At 39.8% G+C, this 19,125-nt stretch overlaps 1 protein-coding gene and 1 long non-coding RNA gene across 3 annotated transcripts, besides 6 other annotated features; one reads left to right on the top strand and one right to left on the bottom strand.

The window, feature by feature from the left end:
* Positions 396 to 455: an enhancer, noted in NCBI's record as "active region_27582". NCBI's record gives its function as "activates an Ori minimal core promoter by ATAC-STARR-seq in GM12878 lymphoblastoid cells {active_cell/tissue: GM12878}" and the evidence as "EXISTENCE:reporter gene assay evidence [ECO:0000049][PMID:35858748]".
* Positions 3,223 to 3,272: an enhancer, noted in NCBI's record as "active region_27581". NCBI's record gives its function as "activates an Ori minimal core promoter by ATAC-STARR-seq in GM12878 lymphoblastoid cells {active_cell/tissue: GM12878}" and the evidence as "EXISTENCE:reporter gene assay evidence [ECO:0000049][PMID:35858748]".
* On the bottom strand, positions 6,681 to 10,920 carry FABP5 (fatty acid binding protein 5). The gene is made up of 4 exons (NM_001444.3): positions 10,782 to 10,920; positions 7,918 to 8,090; positions 7,482 to 7,583; positions 6,681 to 6,942 (listed from the first exon to the last, which is right to left on the bottom strand). The coding sequence occupies exons 1-4, from the start codon at positions 10,858 to 10,860 to the stop codon at positions 6,889 to 6,891; spliced, it is 408 nt and encodes a 135-aa protein (NP_001435.1). The 5' UTR covers positions 10,861 to 10,920; the 3' UTR covers positions 6,681 to 6,888.
* Positions 9,608 to 10,442: an enhancer, noted in NCBI's record as "H3K27ac hESC enhancer chr8:82193249-82194083 (GRCh37/hg19 assembly coordinates)". NCBI's record gives its function as "activates a minimal SCP1, AML or CMV promoter by ChIP-STARR-seq in primed H9 embryonic stem cells {active_cell/tissue: H9 hESC(primed)}" and the evidence as "EXISTENCE:reporter gene assay evidence [ECO:0000049][PMID:30033119]".
* LNMICC (lncRNA associated with lymph node metastasis in cervical cancer) lies at positions 10,032 to 16,057 on the top strand. Of its 2 annotated transcripts, none has more exons than NR_186603.1 (2): positions 10,032 to 10,123; positions 11,080 to 16,057. It is a non-coding gene; the product is annotated as a lncRNA associated with lymph node metastasis in cervical cancer (long non-coding RNA). The 2 variants fall into 2 exon arrangements; NR_186604.1 differs by lacking the exon at positions 10,032 to 10,123 and adding an exon at positions 10,412 to 10,516.
* Positions 10,443 to 11,277: an enhancer, noted in NCBI's record as "H3K27ac hESC enhancer chr8:82192414-82193248 (GRCh37/hg19 assembly coordinates)". NCBI's record gives its function as "activates a minimal SCP1, AML or CMV promoter by ChIP-STARR-seq in primed H9 embryonic stem cells {active_cell/tissue: H9 hESC(primed)}" and the evidence as "EXISTENCE:reporter gene assay evidence [ECO:0000049][PMID:30033119]".
* Positions 10,872 to 11,161: a silencer, noted in NCBI's record as "silent region_19329". NCBI's record gives its function as "represses an Ori minimal core promoter by ATAC-STARR-seq in GM12878 lymphoblastoid cells {active_cell/tissue: GM12878}" and the evidence as "EXISTENCE:reporter gene assay evidence [ECO:0000049][PMID:35858748]".
* Positions 11,172 to 11,251: a silencer, noted in NCBI's record as "silent region_19328". NCBI's record gives its function as "represses an Ori minimal core promoter by ATAC-STARR-seq in GM12878 lymphoblastoid cells {active_cell/tissue: GM12878}" and the evidence as "EXISTENCE:reporter gene assay evidence [ECO:0000049][PMID:35858748]".
* Positions 16,058 to 19,125: the final 3,068 nt, after the last annotated feature.

Raw genomic sequence — 19,125 nt, 5'->3', positions numbered from 1 at the left:
AAAATGATGCACTATATAAGTCAGCCTCCAGAACTGGCCATTTTCCAAAAGTCTGCCTGTTCCAGAAAGGGTGGCATTTTCCCCTGTGTTTCCATCCTGTATAGCTAAGGGAGGAAGCTGAGTTTAGTGGTTAGTGCAATAGACTGAGTCAGCAAGTTTAGTTTCTATATTTGGTGATGTGATTTGCTGAAAACCTTTGTCAGACCAACTCTGTCTAAATGATGAAAGGAGTCTTTGTTCTCTTATATCTAACTTTTGTAAACTTCTGCATGAATACTGTCTTCATTGCTACTGTCCTGAAACTCTGAAACATCTCTCTGGGACTTTTCTCCCTTGTATTCTTTTAGAGAATCAATAAGCCAAGCAGCAGCAAAGCAAGAAACAAACTAAACCAAATACCAGGGCCTCAGTGGCCTACACACACAGGTACACATACAGGTATAGCACAGGTTATACACGACCTGGCAGGGCCATGCACTCCGGTGACAGTAAGAATGAAGGCCTCTGGAGTTGTGCCCAAATAAGCACCAGGCCCTTGCATAAAGTTCAGCAATGAGAAAGAGCAAAACTGTCCATTACAGTATAAACACATTATTGGACCTTTAACTTTACCATTAGGATTAACTTTAGAACAAACATCTCCCCTTCCCCAACATTCAGATATTTAATGTAAAAAGGGGGAAAAAATGTGTTCCCTGTTAAAGTGCCCGTTGGGGGCAAAATAATTTGTGGGTAGAATTTTCCTTAACCAGGTGCCTACTACATTCTGCAACTTTGTGAAGCCAGCTTTGTTTGCATGCAGGCATTACTTGGTTTATGTCACACCATGGGCTGAGTGCTTTAGGGGATCTAACCAAAGGGTAAATATTTTTAAAATATTTTAAATAATTATATTCCATCAATGGAAAAGAATGTTTATCAAACCACTGTTAATAACTCCAAAACTTTTTGCAAAGCTTAAACATTTATCAAGAGGAAATTGATAAAAGAAATAATAGAGTTGAAGTAAAATTAAATGTTATGAAGTTAAAGAAAAGGATGTGAATCTATATTTAAATCAGGTTTAAAAGACAAATAATTGCAAGAGAATACTGTGTTATATGATTCCATGTATAAAATGTTTTGGATGTTTATGCATATAAATATATGAAGAATTATTTGAATGCATCATAACAAAATATTAGTATTAATTTTCTATAGAAGTGAGACTTCCAAGGATATTTATTTACTTCTTTATGCTTTTCTGAAACATCTTCTAATATAAATTTATTATTAAAAATACAAACAAAGCTATTGGCATTTAAATGTTTTTGCATTTTTGTTATAGAGAGATAAGCAAATAAAAATTAAACATCACCTCAAACCCAAGAGATAGGCACTGTTAACATTCTTCTGTATTTAATTACACATATGTGCCCATATTACACAAATGGTATAATATGTACATAATATTTTATATCCGGTTTTTCCACTTTACAGTGAATTACGAGTCTTTTTTCCAAGCTATTGTCTTTTTGTTGTTTTAATTCCAGTTAATATTTTATTGTATGGCTATATTATGATTATTTAACCAGTCTTCTATTTCTAGAAAGTTATATGCTTGCCAATCATCTGCTAATGTAAAAGCACTTGGATGAACATCTTTATAACCCAATTTTCAACATTCAGAGAACTTTCTCCAAGACAGTAGAGGATGGAGTCAGCCTAGCTACCATCAGACAAAGGCCCAATTGTTTCCTATGTTGCCGAAAGCACAGCTCAGCCTCTCAGCCATGTCTCCCAGACCTGCAATTAATATTCCAGGGTAAAACTCACCTGTCAGTTGGGGTTGCTTCTCTGGATTCCCAGAAATAGGCCACATAATTCCTCATGATTTTGTCAGCTCTTTGTCACTTTAAGGCAATTAAAAAATTTTTTTTTGTCCAATATTTTCAGTGTCTTTGGTAAGTTATTCCAAATATCAGTATCTCATTGCAAAAGTGAAAATAGAACATCTTTGTTAAAATAGTCATCTCTCACTTCCTCCTTGACACCTTCTGTAGTTTCTCTGGGTCCTTAGATAAACCTAAATCCCTCACTAGGAGCTACAAGGTCTTACACACTCTGCTTCTCACCTAAATCTCAGACCGCATCTTGCTCCACATTGCTCCTCTTTCAATAATCTTCTGTCATTCTGTGGTTCTGTCGGTCTCCACCTCAGGGCTTCTGCAGCGGCTAGTCCCTCTGCCTAGAACACTGTTGCTCCAGATGTTCACTTGCCTACCTTCTCTCATTATTCAGGTCTCAGTTCAAACACTACCTTCTCTAAGAGGCCTTCCCTGACCGTCCCATATAAAGTATTAAGTTGGTGCAAACATAATTGCAGTTTTTGCACTTCAAAGTAATGACAAAAAGCTGCAATTACTTTTGCACCAACCTAACAGATTCCACCCCATTCGCTCCTTATCACTCTACTTGGTTTTATATTTTTCTAGCTGCACTTATCACCCTGCCATTTGTTTGAATCATGTATGTTCCATCATGCTATGGTTTGACTGTGTCCGCCAAAGTTCATGTGCTGGAAATGTAATCCCTAATGCAACACCGATGGGAGGTGGGACCTAATAAGTGTTGATTAGGTCACAATGGCTCTGCCTTCATGAATGGATTAATGTCGTTATCTCTGGAGTGGGGTGGTTATCGCAGGAGTGGGCTTGTTGTGAAAGTGACTTCAGCCCCCTCTTGCTCTCTTACTCTCTCTCATCCTGCCACCTTCCGTCTTGGGATGACGTATCAAGAAGGCCCTCACCAGATTCAGGACCCTCAATTTTCGACTTCCCAGCCTCGAGAAATATAACAGATAAATTTCTGTTCTTTATAAATTACCCAGTCTCAAGTATTCTGTCACAGCAGCACAGGACAGACTAAGACACATCATCTCACACTAGAATGTCAGTTCCATCAGAAAGAACCTTCACCCTACTCTATCTTGTTCACCATGCCATGTGTTGCCAGCACCTTTAAAAAACGCTCCTTAAGAATTATTCTCTTTTCAGACATTTTCCAAGCGTACAGTATGGGAGAAGGAGGTATAAGGGGAGGAGGCAATGGGAGGAGGAGAGAGACTGGATCAAAAGCAAATGTTTACATATGATCTGGTGACAGAGCCTGGCACACCAGATATCATAAGACTACAATTATTTTCCAGTTGCTGTGTGACTAGCTGCAAGTCATACCACTTTGCCTTTCACAGCATTTCAGAATATGTGTCAGCTTTCCAAACCAGTTCACCGGCTTCATCAGCCCTTTCTACCAACTCACTTCACCCATGACCCATCAAATGGCAGTGAATTCTAAGAGGGCAGTGTTAGAAAAGGAGAACAGAGAATTCATGAAACCCAGGGAAACACTATAATTATTCTCATGAACTTAAAAGTGAATTCAAAATGGAACAGACATTAAGAATCATTGGTTTATAAGCAGCAAGAATTGAGTAATAGTCCAAGTTGACTTGGCAGCCTCAAAATCTAGGTGCCAAAAAGATGGTTCTCAACCTTTTCATGGTCATAGCACAATTTCAAATACCAGAATTTTGAGAAAACAGTTAAAGAGATTGAGACTCAAGAAATCATTGACTATGTTAGCAATAGATGCATCATAATCACTACTAGCATAAAACAATGCCTCATTTTGCCTGCAAAGATCTTACAGTGGCAATTCACTACAACCATTCATCCGCAGGCACTTGGACTTCACTTGTCGAGAACAGTTGATGCCCTCATGGTGCTCAAGGACATAATACAAAAGTTGTCATCTTTCTCCTGTATATTTTTCTTTAGTGAGAGGTTGACTTGTGTTAAACTGTCTTTCTTCTAGCAAATCATATTAATCTTCACCATGTTCCACAAACACCTCAGGTCCAGTTCTGCTTGACAGGCATTGCCTGTTAGCAGAGTGCTTGGCTGCAGTAAAATAAATTGTATACATCGATCAAAACTGGGTAGCCTATTTTTTGGTAGGCCAGGGTGCCATGACATGCCAGTTTGGAAGCACGGCTGAATTCCTTACTTCCTATTTCAAACATACTTTTCCCACAGTCATCAAGCGCACTATTCTGGGGTAAAAGACCTGATTAAAGTTGAATGGTTTGCATAAAGGTAAGAAATATGGTTTTAATAAATAAAGTCAATTGAAGCAATATCATGATGGGTCTTAAATAATATAAAAATGTGTTAAATAGATGTCAGGAATCCATTAATTTATTAACAAATTCGTTCATTTAACAAATATGTATGGAGCATCTTTTGTATGTCGGGTTCTCCCCTAATTGCATACTAGAGAGTGTGTGCACTGTTAGAAACAAAGTCCCTTCTTCATAAGACTTACTTTCTATTGGGGAGACAGATAATAACCAAAAAAATTAAGAAATAAAACAAGTGAATGTATAGTTAGAATTGATGATAAAGGTGAGGACTATGAGAAAAAATAAAGCAGCTTAGGGGAATTGAGAATGTGGGGGAGGAGTGGCAGCTCTGATGCATCATGTGGTCTGGGAATGACTCACTGTTAGGGTGACCTTTAGGGAAGAGACTCTAAGGAGTGGAGAAAGTGTGGGCTGCAGCCTCCTTGGGGAAGAGTGTTTCAGGCAGAGGAAACAGGTGCAAAGGCCCTGAGGCAAAAGCACATTTGCATCAACATTGGCCAAGGTCTGAGGGAATGTTTGAGAGGACAGTGGCAGGAAATGAAATCAGGAGGGGGCACTGGGAAGGTGGAAGACACAGGCAAATCACATAGAAACTCTATGAAGATCTTAGCTTCTACTCCTAGGGAAGTAAGAGGCCAGTGGAGGGTTCTCAACAGAGGAGTGACATGTTGTAACCTGTGTTTTAAAATGATAGCTTTGGGAGAATAAAGTTGCAAAATGGCAGAGAAGGGGAGAGATGATGGTGATGACTGAATGAGGGTGGTATCTGTGAAAGAAGTGACAAGCAATTGAATTCTAGGTATATTCTGATGGTAAAACAAATAATTTGCTAATTGATTAGATATAAGATGGTAAAGAAATAATCAAAGATTAGACATTTAGCCTGAACACTGGAAACATGACATTCCCATGAATTGAGAGGGAGAATACTGCAAGAGGAATCGGTTTGAAAGTTTAAAACATAAGAATTTCAATTTTGGAAACATCCCATGCTGTCCAAATTAACAGTCACTAACTACATGTGGGTACTTAAATTTACATTTTAGTTAATAAAAACTAAATTAAAAATTCAGTTCCTCAGTTGCACTCACCACATTTCAAATGCTCAATACTCACTTACGGCTAGTGGCTACCTTAGTGGCCAGTGCAGATATTAAAGAGCATTTCCATGTCACATAAAGTTATATTGGGAAGTGCTGGTGGGACATTAAGCCTTTACTATATTATGGGTCCCGTGCTAACTTTCATTTTTGTGTCGTATTTTTTATTGGACAGTGTTGATTTAGACTTCCTTTCTATGTGAATTTCAATCATGCTTATTTCAGTCTCTATGCTAGGGTTCTTCATTCATCCACATTTTCCACTTCTCATAATCATGTTTGGTTCAGAGAGAATGTCAATAAATATACATAATTATGAGAAGCGGAAAATGTGGATGAAAGAACCCCAGCATAGAGACTGAAATAAGCATGACTGAAATGAAAGTACATGCAATTTTTACATTTTCCCTAGAAACATTAAAAAAGTAAATGGGTAAAATTAACTTTACAAATATATATTTACTTTAATATGCAATCAATACCAAAAAAATCATTAATAAGGCATTTTACTTTTTGTACTAAGCCTTTGAAATCCCCTATGTACGTCTCAATTCAGACTAGTCACACTTCAAAGGTTCAATAGCCATGTGTGACTCATAGCTATGTATTGGACAGGACAGGACTAGAGTATCAGCGAGTTGAAAACCTCCACTGACTGCTAGCTGTGGCTAATTCTTAAAAGAATAGGCTTACCAGTTAACATTTCTGCACGTGGAGGGTGGTTTCAGAAGTCTCACTTAGTATACGTAGGGACTTTAGACAAGATCTGCACAAGCTGCAAAGAGACAGCATTGCAGAATGACTGAACACATTGAGTAGACTTGATGAGATATAGGTTGTCGGTCCAGCTCTACTACCTCCTGTCCTTGAACTAGTTACTTGCAGAATGGTTGTAGTTGTACCAGCCCTTTAACGTCTGCCCTAAAGATCATTTATGCGAAGCTTTAGCTCAGGGCCAACAGCCTGCTTCTCCAAATGTGAACTGTGGATATTTGTGTTGGGGACCGAGAAACAGAGATTCACTAGAATTCTGGTTATTCCATACATAGTATTACTTATATTTGTATATAAATACACACAAAAAGTATTTTAGTCAATGCTGGTTAATTAAACCTTTGCTCTAATTTGAATAATAAAGTTTATGTTGTAGTCACCTTTTATTGAGAATGGTCTCTGCCAGAAATTCAAGATTCCTGAATTCATACAAAGTTCAAATAGTATAGGGCAAGCTTAAATAATTGGTACAGTATTTCCTGTAAGAGTAGCTATCTATATAAATTGCTAGAGTGTCATCTCAATATAGTACCCTCAAGACTGCCCCAACCTTTACTCAATTAATAATTATTAAAACTCATCACTAATTTCCTGTAAGGTTTAAAGAATGCATACAAGATATATTAGCACAAACACATTTATTTATTAACCAAAGGGATGATCCTAATTAATCCAACACACTTTGAAATAGCTGCATGTAAAATGTTTATGATAAAGATAATTGAACACAGTAATGAAAAAAAAAAGAAAGAAACAGTATGGAGATTTGCTCATTGAACTGAGCTTGGTCATTCTCTTAATTAACTCCTGTCCAAAGTGATGATGGAATTTTTATTCTACTTTTTCATAGATCCGAGTACAGGTGACATTGTTCATGACACACTCCTAGAAGAAGGAAAGATATTAAAAGAGTTAGGTTAGCCTTAGATTCCAGAGCAGTGGTGGTATTAAAACATTAGAATCAAAGTCCCACGAAATCACGTAATCTACTTCATAGATGGAGAAAATTTCTTTCAGAATTCACGGGTTTGAGAGAAGCCAGAAGCTGTTGTTTTGCTTATAATATGCATGTTTTACAGAAAACTAATGTGTTGAATATATCTTTATTCTTTTGGTTATGGCAAATATTCCTTATTTTAAAGATATAGAAAAATGTGTGCAGTTTGGTGGCTTGCCAAGATTTCACTGTGACGTGGCAGCAAAGCAAGAACTCCCCCCAACTCCAGCCAAATCCTCTCCTATGTCATGTCACTTCTCTATCTCCACTAGGACTTTCTTAATAATTAGTGTTCTAGTATTTAACTTGTTATTTTGCTTTTTTTTCTTCCAAACTGAGTTCTGTTAATGATCAATGATATAGAACAGTTATGTGAACTATGAATGCACACAAGAAGCTGACTGAGACACAGCAGTTTGACACTTACCACCACTAATTTCCCATCTTTCAATTTTCTTGTTATTGTGCTTTCCTTCCCATCCCACTCCTGATGCTGAACCAATGCACCATCTGTAAAGTTGCAGACAGTCTGCAAAAACAAAGTAAACGTTTTAATCTTCCAAGTACATTACAAGAGTTTCCATGACTCATAACCTCCTTAATCAACATTTGTTTCACCTTCTCCTTTCTGAGTCTACTTCATTAACCCATATTGATTTTATTCACAATAGTTTGTGGTTTTCAACCTAGTAGCTAATAAAAGATGCCAATTCTATGATGAAGTTGATACTTTTGCTAATTTGACAAAATTCAATTCATAAAATAACTTTTTCATTAAGTTCTTGCCTATAAACAGTAAAATGTTATTGATACAGCCTATCATTCTAGAAGCTTCTGTGATTTCATAACATGTCACGACTGACCTGAGTTTTTCTGCCATCAGCTGTGGTTTCTTCAAACTTCTCTCCCAGGGTACAAGAAAACTGTGTTGTTTTCAAAGTGCTCTCAGTTTTTATGGTGAGGTTTTTACCATCACAAGTGATGATACAATCTGGCTTGGCCATTGCGCCCATTTTTCGCAAAGCTATTCCCACTCCTGTAGAATGTTAAGTCATGTTAAATAACAGGAAGACCAAAGTTATCATTTACATGATAAAAGCAATAATTCCATTGTAATCACTTTGTGCGGCATATTTTCACTTATTTGCTTATTGATAACTATTGTAAACATATATCCCACGGTATGAGCCAGCACTTTACATATATGAAATTCAGGTAAGCCTTACAACAGCCCTGTAAAAGGCAGATGTTACTGTCTCCATTTTACTGATGAGAAAGCGAGGCACGGAAGTAACTTGCCCAAGATCATTCAACTAGAAAGTGATGGAGCTGGGAACCAAGAGCACTGGCACCCTGGCTCCAAATCTGAGCTCTGGCCACCATGCTATGCTGGCTTTCAGAAAGTTAGGGAAGAAATGTGGACTTCCAAATTTTATTTACTCAAAGCAGTTGATAGAAGGTGGAGATAAAGCATTCAAAATTGCAAATTCAGGAGTTTGCTCAATCTTTTTCTTTTTACTAGATTCTGCCAACCATTACATTCTATGACTCCAGCACAGTCTGGCATATAAATGTTCTCGATAAATATTTGATTAATAGACTACACAAAATAGAAATTGATCCTGAGATATTCAAATAGCACAATCTTTTAAAACTCAGCAGCACAATCATGATGCTAACAAATGGGAAAAAAAATCCTACCTTTCAATATAAAAACTATTTCATAGGTATATAAATCAATAGAAATATATAACATATTAAATTATATTTTAATTTATGATCTATCAATTTCCCCTCAACGTTAACATGTAATTTATGATCTATCTCTTTCCCCTTAGAGTTAGTTAACATGTATAAGGAATCTTAGATCCAGGCCAAATCACTGTTTCATAAATGAGGAGACTACAACCTACGCAGCATGATTGTCTTGATGAAGAACACCCAGCCAGGCTTTAAAGTTCCCCTTGGAGCCTTCTCTTTTGCCAGCTCAGGGCTGGTGCCTTATGCTGTTAATTGAGTCATTATGTACTCTCACTTTGGACAAATAAATGGGCTCTGCTCTTTTCACATTGTGACTGCTCCCTAATGAACTGAGTCTTGACAACCTTCAAGACTCCAGAATCCTGGAAACAAGCCCTCCAAACCTACACACAATTTGCTTTCTACAGGCAGAGAAAAGTGTTCTTTGGGCCTTAAACTTGTACACACACACACACACACACACACACACACACTGTTATTTATTGGACAGGTGCAGTAAATCGCTTTTTCCAGAGTCATCTTGATGTAGGTTTACAAGGAAAAAGAAAAATACTGCCTTCTTTACTGATAGTATCAAAAATACACTCATGATTCACCATAAACCAGCCTTAACACCACATGGTCTTGGATAAAGGGTACTGAAGGAGTGATTCCGAAGTGCCACGGCGACCAGGTATCAATAGAGGGTCACGGTAGTTATTTCACCAGCGAGCAACCGGGTTAACATTTGTGGATACCGGCTTCTGAAGCACCCTCATAAATCCCAGCCATCCCTTAGGGCTGGAAGCTCCCTTCCAGAGAGGATCCATGCTATGCTAACTCCATCTCACTTCCTAGTGGCCTGTGACAAAGGTCCATTTTTGTTTGCAATTTATCCAGTGTCTCAATCAGCATGCAATCTGTCACTGGCATAGAAAAGGACAGTAATTTATAATGAAGCACTGTTTTGAGTGAGAAATGAATCTTACTACTGAGATTCATTCTCCCTCGGAACGCTTCAAGAAGTCATCTGCCTTCTGCAGGGCCACACCCATCTTGCATGCAGTTAGCCGCAGGAGGGCCAGGCAGTTTCTGTTACGGTTTTCCAGCAAAGCCCACTGCCTCCTTCCTCCTCACCCTCAAGTGGCAGAGGCCAGGATGGCAACACACGGCCACCCCCAGGCCTCATTGCGCTCCTCCCACAGGCCACCCGCCCACTGCGGCGCCCCGGCCCGGCAGTGCCAGCAGCAGGTCGGCACCGCCAGCGCCACGCTTCTCGGGGGCCCTGGTGTTCCATGGGGTACCAATCCAAAGGGTTCGGCTCAACTGGTAAGGGCGAGCAGAGGACCTGGGGGAGACGGGGCTGACAGAGGAATGCAAGCTGAAGCTGTAGCGCCACTCAGACCCCTCCACAGGATTTCTGCGGGAAACTGCGCGCCAGCACCGCGTCCCCATGAAGAAAACGGAGGGTGACCTGCGCGCCACAGGGAACAAAAGATGCGACAGGGAGGGAAAGGGGAGTGGGTGCTGCCACGATGGGGTAAATGGGAGAGACAGAATGGTGGCAGGAAGGGGAAGGATGAGTAAAGGGGGAAAAAAGGGAAATACAGGGTCGCCTGGAGGGGGTCGAAAGAAGTGCAGCGTGAGGTGACGGGTGCGCGCGCTAAAGGACAGGAAGCAATGCGGAAGGGCTGCCGTTTGGGCGAAGGGAAAGAAGCAGAGGTAGGTGGACCACGGGGTGGACCACCTCCGGAATCTTGCGGCCCGCGGGCGGGCAAGAGGCGCGCACGCTCCCTGCTCCTCGCCGCCTGCCCGCGTGGTGCTGCGCGCGCTGCACCCAACGGCCGCGTGGTGGGGAAGATGGGAGGGGATGGGGGTAGGCCGCCGAGCATCTCCTGCCCCAGAATCTGGCACGCTGACGGGGACCTAGGGACAGACGACCGCACAACACGCCACGTTGCAGGCGCTGCCAGGCCGGGTGCCTCACCTAGCTCCTTCATGTATTCATCAAAGCCTTTGCTGTCCACCAGGCGCCATCTTCCTTCCAGCTGCTGAACTGTGGCCATGGTGGGTGCGGGCGGGCTGGCGTGCAGAGAGGGGTCTGCGTCGGCGTGGCAGCGTGCTGTGAGGCACCCGGCGCCGGCGGCTGCTTTATAACGGCGGCCCGCGCTGGGCGGCGCTATGCGGCCAATGGGAGGCGGGCCTCGCCCGGTCCCCGCCCCGCCCGCCGGGCGCCCCCTGGGCCTTCTCGGGGTCGGGAGGTGCTAACCAGCTCCTCTTGCCAGGGTACGCGACGGCCTCTCGGGCGCCTCCTGCAAGCAGGGACTCGCCCGGCGCGCCCCACGCCTCATGGACGCCGGCGCCTGCACGTTTCGGCGCCTCTGCAGGCCCAGGAAGCCAGAGGGGTCACCTGGAGGCCTGGCCCCGCCTCTCCTGCACCCCTCCGTTTGACAACATATCCACCGCCGTTTTTCCTTTCAAAATACCCGGACCAATCGATTAGCCCTCGCCGGACTCGGACTGCAGGAAGTGATTGATCGGCTGTTTGGTTTATTGATTCATTAACTACGGTGCCTCCCTGACCTTCTGCTCCTCGCCAGCGCACAAGCTCACAATCCACACCCTCCTAAGAGAACCTGCTCTCGCCATCCGCAGGTCTCCCTGGCCCAATAGTGGGGATATACCTGAGTTGAGCTAGAGGATTTTATCCCTGTTGGGATGGGGGACGTCTCGGGAAGTGTGGTTTCTAAACTAAAAGACTGCAGGAAGTGTCAACTTTAGTGACTGTCATTGCCATTCAAGAATGTTTGATTAGTTTATATTCCCTTCGTAGTGCACCCTTCACCGTTTCTTCTCAGACACCAGCGGGTTTCTTCTCAGACACCAGCGGGTTCCCTCTTTCTCTTGAACTATAATAATACCCTACACATGTGCGTAGAACATGATACGTTTCAAAGTGTACTCTTCACAATTTATTACTTGGTGCTCCCGGGTGCCTGTTGGAAGTCAGATGGACTGAGGTGAGGAAGTTGCCACACAGGCTGGCCGTTTCGATAGCGGTAATGTGCATTTATTGAGTAGCTACTAAGTGCTAGATGTGCTTCCTGGGCACTTTATAGACATTGGTCTCCACTATATTTTTGCTAGGGGTGTTATCCCAATTTTTCAAAAGAGAAAATAGGGCAAAGATAGTTCTCACAGTGGTAGAACCAGAATCCCCATCCAGGTCCGTCTCACTGAAGACCTTATGAAATCAGACCACACCTGACTGCCTTGGGCTCAGGGTAGCTGTGATGGAGCTCTGAGTAGACCACAGTCACCGAGACACTACTAGTTCTTGTATCATCCTTGACAAAATTGAAATCTGAGGTTGGTTTGCTATCTCCCAACATGCTGCAGGACATGTACTCCCCTGAACTGCATCCCTTTCATTTCAAGTCCCTGCCCTCAGTTTAGGGTCACACCAGTCTTCCTTGTGGTACCATTTAACACTCAATTGTTTTCCCAATAAGGGTCTGCATGTCCCACACCCGAGGCCCTACTGCTCAGAAAATATTCGTGTTCTGAGGGAAGCTGAGTGCATCATTTACTCAGTGATGAGAAGCCCTGGCTACCAGGCACTTCAGGCAGCTCCTTAGGGCTGCCTGTGTGTTTGAACTTGAGCTCTTCATGTGCTATTTCAACATGTCTTATCCATTTCTGTATAGACTATATGTAGTAATAATAGGACGCAGCACTCTGATACTAATTTTTAAATGATCATAATCTAACATGTTACAGAAATATCAAAAAGATAATGGCACTGGAGTACTAGATACTTAGGTACTTAAGAAATAGCCTTTAATCCCAAGGCCTTACTTAAAACTTAAGTTTAAACACAATCTCTGATGTGATGAGTGGAAATAATTCTTTTGTGTTAAAACATACAGACAAAACAAAGCTATATGGCCAGAATAATAACCGTTATTGTATCTTGTGGAACAAAAAAGGGCATGGTGATTGCTCTGTTCCTCAGGGAAACACATTGAATGTCTTGTTTTCAGACACCACATCTGATGCATATACAGATGTATGATTGGAGTAGATTATTTCTAATGCCCCTTAAGCTCTACTACTCAGATTCTTTCCTTCTCCAGAGTAATGGTAATGGATTTTAAGCTGTGAAAAAGCAGTTAAGTACTGCCTTCACCCGCTAAGTAAAGGCCTATTCTAGGCTACTTACCTTGCACCCATTATGAGGTGTAAAACCAAAAATGTTGTGAAATCAAATTTCACTGAAGTCTCATATAACTTTATGGAGATGGTTGAGTATTTCTTCTTGGAAAGAAGGAGGAGAATCATCACTTGATTGTGATTAATTACAACATAGGAAACAAGAAACAATAGTTTTATCCTAACCTGTCCTTACGAACATTAGTAACTGTGCTGTTCATTATTTTTAGTAACAGCACATAGGTAATACAGGTGTTATATCATGTTTTCCTTCACACTGGAAGATAATAACACATTATTCTTATGGATGAAAATGACTGAAGAATCAAGAATTACTAGCAACTCTTCTTCCAGTAGCTTAGAAAACTGCCTTTTTCAAGACAGATGCAATTTTACTTAATATCTCTGAAGCTTAGTTTTATCATCTATGAATTTAAGGAGATGAGAATTAATACTAAATGATTTTTTAGGTCCCCTTCAGTTTATGAAGTACTCCTGCAGTAGAAGTTCATGGCCTTGAAAAAGCGTACTCAAAATTACTCTATTTCCACCTAGTGGTGAAACCGTAATATTTCTCTGAGGCTTTACTTGATAAACGTGAGTAGTTTTTCAGCTTCTCATTCTGTAATCACACACAGCTTTGGAGCATATTGTGTCATTTTTATTTAAAGACAACTTCCCAGTTAAAGTTTATGTACATAGATGTGCCTTCCACAAAGTTGATTATTGTATATTAGTTCTTCCTAAGGACAGTTAAGTGTTGGTGGCTTAGCAACAGGCAGTTGGTAGAGAAATGGAGAGTACTACATTAAATTATTGCAGAGAATATTCAAAGTAATCCATTTTCAGGGAACTGAGTCTTCTCTAAGTACATGGCCAGATGATCAAAAAAGGAAAAAAATTAATCACTAAGGTTGGAGAATATGTTTATTTAAACCTAGTGTCTCCCTTAAATTTTATAACTAGATTTTTGACCCTCACTCATCTGGCTTTCCTTGCTATAGACATGCTTTGCATACCCAGCTTCTAGCCACATCTTCCCTAAGAAAATTTCACCTGGAATCAGTTCCAAAAGAAAATCTTAAGAGATAGAGTATGGATCTGCATGTTGTCAGCTACCTAAAGCAGCAAAAATTCCTAGATGAGAATAAAATCAGGGAACCTTGCAGTTTAAGGCACACCTTAAATATTAAATTTTTAATCCTTCAATGCATCCAGCCAAAACAAGAAATTGCAAATAGCTACCATCCATCAATGCAAGGTTTTTTTGGTTTGTTTTTCATAATAAGATTGGTTTTAATTAAAGCACTTATAAAGATGGAGTTATATTTTGAACTTTGTCCTTTTACTTAAAGCAGTTAGAGTCTTACACATCATAACTGCCACGGCTAACCATTAAAATTTTCCAGCTCCTTAAATGATCCATCATAAACTTGTGCTTGCTGAGTTAACTGGACTAGAGGATAGCTGGAGGGAAAATGAGGCATTGCAAAAGTTACAGTAATAAAAAGTGAATGGCTTCAAAATAAGGCAGAGGACATAATGGCTCATTTTATAATAAAAGCTTTCAGTATAAAATTCATACATTTCCCTTACTTATATAGATCTTCCTACTTTCCAGACATGTGTATTATTGTATATTACATTTGTCAATAGCTCATGGCAACAGATACACATAGTTTGGGATAACCCTTTTATACCTCATATGAGCAGTGTTCAAAGGTTTAAAAGCACAACTCCAAAGGGCACAGCTTGAAATGGAGCGGGAGGATGCTAGCAAAGCCACCCCAATAAACACAAAATCTTAGTAAAAGCACTATGTTTACCAGGCAATGCAACTTCAAAACAAATTCCTTAGCAACCCCAACCTCTTCAAGCCCGCTTCTAATCACATTATTACTCCTAAGCCTCCTTATATACAAAATCTTAGGCTGGCCAAGCCCAAACACACAGACACATTAATAATGAGCATCTCTGTCCTTAAAAAATTTCAAACATAAAAAACCTCCAAATGATATGTTCCCACTGGAAGAGGCCAAATTCTTTTCTTGTAGATTACCCTTTTCTATTTTTCATTCCTACCTCCCATGCAGTATTCCTAGATTCTCACACCATTTGATCATTTCTCTATTTTGATATTTATCTATAAGAATTAATGATTTTTTTCAAGTCAAATCTACAAAACCGTGGATTTGCTTGCCTCTAAGCTATTTATCTCAGTGAGTCAGGCCCACTGCTTCCATTTTTCTGGATTAGCTTTGAAGAAGAATCATCAGCACTTAATAACCTACCTAAATCCGACTGAAGATGCTTTCTTGATCCTATCTCTGGTCCTCCTACTTTGGCAGTGGGAAGAGCTACCCTATAACTCCTCAGAGTCATGCACAGAGCTGTAAAACCAGCATGCAGCTGATTTTGTGCACTTCTCTGAAGGACCCAAGCAGCAGGATGGGTACCTTTTGTTCACCCACCCATAGACACCACAGGACACTTTTTGTTCACCTGCTCACTTCTGCATTGACCAAACTTAAAGATACAGATTCAACAGTATGTAGGGGAAGTTTCCAGTAAAGTATATTCTGTTTTCTACATTGGTTAAATATTGTAATTTCATGCGGGAACTGGGAGGCTAAGTAGTTGTTACCATTAAGAAGAGCAACTGTGATCTTACTTCCAGCCTATTTTGGAAGGTGGGATAAAAAATATTTGTGCCACAAATCTCAAATCTTGTCTCCTATCTTACAACCTTGAAATACATAGTTAATTCTGCAGGGTCTCAGACATCCTACTGAGTTGCCAAATATTGAACACCAAGCTGGGCTTGTCAACACTCAGGGCTACAAAGAGGAGATCTCAAAACTACCATGGCCTCAGGATTCTGAATGTGGGTCTGAAATCCCTACTTCTTACTTTGGATTAAAAGCTCACCTGAGCTACACACATCTGTTGTCCTAGAATGGATATTTTTATTTAGATATCAACCAATTCAACTTCACTCCTTTATTGAGTCAGTCAAGAAATCAATAAAATTGACTTCAAAAATTGAAATCACTTCTTAATTCTCCTCTGGTTTTCTTCCTACCCTGCCCTTTCTTCTTCACACTCAATATAGTTTTACCCATCTGAATGAGGAATAAGTCTGACTTGTCTTTGAAACATTTGCTTTATTTCATAACTGCCACACGCTGGGCCTAAAGTGTATGTACCTGGATCTGAAGACAACAAAATACCTAGAGGATCTGCTCTGTGGGTGGGACACGGCAGCTAGAGCTGTGGAGGTCAGGCTTGAATTCCAGGGGATGGTACTGTCATGATTCTGATGGGTTCTTCTGATCTGGATTTGGATCCTGGCAAGAGAATGGTAGACAGAGTTTAGCCATCAGGAAGAAGGAACAAGACCTAAGCTGATGGTCAAATCCTAAAATAACACAAAAATAATCATGTGCCCTGCATCCTTACCTCCTTCTCCCTGCCCAGCACATCAGATAGCATTAATTCTAGTTTCACCATCAGAGCAGAGATGGAGCTCCTAATGGCCTTTCTGCCCTGGTAGGTTATCTGAACACACGATTTTTTTCAGAGTGCAAGATAGGATGACCATATCCTGGTTTGACTGGGGCAAGTCAGAGCTATGCTTGTTGTCCTGGTATGATTTTGAGCAATGCCCTCCTTCCTTCCAACTATTTCAAATAGGATGAAGAGTTGTTATATTTAATTCTCACCTATCAGGTAGCTCCAAAGTCTAAATTTCAAGGAAGGCATTAACATGGTACTACAGCATCATCTATTGTAAGACCTGAAGGTGCCTTGCAGGAGGGAAAAAATGTGGTAGCGCCATGTTCAGTATTACCCTACTCAGGTATCATACAAATATGTCATGCAGGGACAGCTTTGCTTGCTCACAAAAGAATGGCCAGCAGAGATGTCCATACCAGACACATTCCTTTGTCTCAAATCACCCCATATTTTTAGAACACCTAGTAATTATGTGGATAGAATCTAGTTCTTATCTTCAAGAAGTCTGGTATCTAAGTCTATACAAGCTAAAAACTACATCCATTGTGGGTTTTTTAAATTTCACAAACATTTATTAAAAATTGATTCTGTTTTAGTTCATCACATATTGAAAATTTTAAAAAATTGAAGGTCTTTGAAATATCAGGTAAACAGAAGCCCTCAGGTTCCCCATAATTCATTATGCCTTTTTTCTTAAGAAACCACATTATTTTATTTAAGAAATAAATGAAAGGTTTTTAGATCATCACTGGTTAATTTAAAGTCTACATTTGTTGTTTTCCATTTACACAATCATGTTTTTATTTTATTCTTTTAATTTTTTTATTGACAAATAATAATTGTATATATTTATGGGGTAAAATGTGATGTTATGATGTAGGTATAAAAATAAAATACTTAGGAGTAAATTTAACCAAGGAGATAAAAAATCTATATGCTGAAAACTGTAAAACATTGATAAAAGAAATTTAAAATGGCACAAATAAATGGAAAGATATCCTGTATTCTTGCACTGGAGGAACTAATATTGTGAAAATGTCCATACCACCCAAAGTGATCTGTAGATTCAATGCAATTCCTACCAAAATTCCAAGGTCATTCTTCACAGAAATGGAGAAAACAATTCTAAAATTCATATAGAACCACAAAGGACCCCAATTAGCCAAGAAAAACAAATAGCAAAGGCTGGAGGCATCACACTACCTGATTTCAAAAATGTACTACAAAGCTATAGTAATTGAAAAAGCATGGTGCTGGCACAAAAAGAAACGCATCAACCAATGGGATAGAATAGCCCAGGGAAAACCACATCTGCAGTCAACTTAATTTTTTTTTTTTTTTTTTTACAAAGGTGCCAAGAACACACAATGAGGAAAGAACAGTCTCTTTAATAAATGGTATTGAGAAAACTGGAGATCAACATGTAGAAGAATGAAATTAGGCCCTTATCTCTTACCATATACAAAAATCATCTAAAAATGGATTAAATACTTAAATGTAAAACATGAAACTACTAGGAGAAAACATAAAACTACTAGGAGAAAACATAGAGGGAAAACTCCATGGCATTGGTCAAGGCCATTGTTTTATCTTTATAATATTAAGCGAGTCTTTAACAGAAACCAGGTGAGTGTACCAAATAAATATATCTTGTTTAAAATTAATGTGCCAAATGTCAAAAAGTTAACTGAGGTAAACTTTGCTCAGCTAGAAAGATCTTGTCTGAGAAATACTGGGTTAGAAATCATGAAGCAACTCATGTCACTACTCAGCTCTGCCTGTGCTTTAGAGTTAGTTCATCGCTATAAACCGGGTAGTAAACGGACACCAGGCTATGCCTGAGGTGGTGATGCATACTGAGATATACAACTTGCATAATAAAAATTTCCAGAATACAAGTCAAAACTGGAATTGTCACCACCCGGCTAGTTCAGTAAGGGTCAGAAAATCCTGCTGAGTTCCTTTTCTGAGAATTGAGAGAAGAGTCTCAGAAGCAAAGCTGAATGATTTCTTGCCACACATACTCTGATGCCCTTGTCTTTCAGTAGAAACTGTACGTGGTTCCTGGGGAGAAGACTATGGTTCTATATGACAAGTTTTATTTGTTGCATGTTGTAAAATATTATCACTTCTGCAGCTATGTTATCAGGACATCATATAAGTGTCAAGACAGAATAGGACCAGCTTCTATAAACAGGAAAGAATGCCATTTACTGGTGTCCCTTTGAATGTATTTAGCATATGAAAGTTACTCTATGTTATGTACTATATGGGAAAAAAAGCTTTTTTCTCAAATTAAATACCTTTCCATTTTATTGCATTTTTGCATTTTGTTGACATAATCATCTCTGAGATATAGTCACAGAAACAAAAGTTTGACCCCAATATGAAACAGAAAATCAAAACTGCCTAATATTCCATTTGAAAGCATGTGGTGATACAAATCATAACTAGAAACAAAATAAAAATCACATAAGAGTTCAACAAAACATTTATTTGTCATTTTCCAATCAACGTGAATAGTGATGGTAAATCCTGCACACACAAAAAAGTATTGGGTTTCCTTTTGCTTCGTGCTTTACTAAGCAGGTGTCAGCTGCTTC

The sequence above is a fragment of the Homo sapiens genome, chromosome 8 (assembly GCF_000001405.40).
Source record: "Homo sapiens chromosome 8, GRCh38.p14 Primary Assembly".
In the NCBI taxonomy this organism is placed as follows: Eukaryota; Metazoa; Chordata; class Mammalia; order Primates; family Hominidae; genus Homo; species Homo sapiens.
The sequence above is the reverse complement of the archived record's forward strand: the minus strand, read 5'-3'. Positions and strand labels throughout refer to the sequence as shown.

Bases quoted from the DNA above. Each gene is read 5' to 3' on its own strand.
- FABP5 (NM_001444.3), bottom strand. From the start codon at position 10,860: ATGGCCACAGTTCAGCAGCTGGAAGGAAGATGGCGCCTGGTGGACAGC. The intron at 8,091-10,781 runs GTGAGGCACCCG...AACATTCTACAG, and splicing joins TGAATACATGAAGGAGCTAG to GAGTGGGAATAGCTTTGCGA. The intron at 6,943-7,481 runs GTAAGTGTCAAA...TCCTTCTTCTAG, and splicing joins AAGATGGGAAATTAGTGGTG to GAGTGTGTCATGAACAATGT.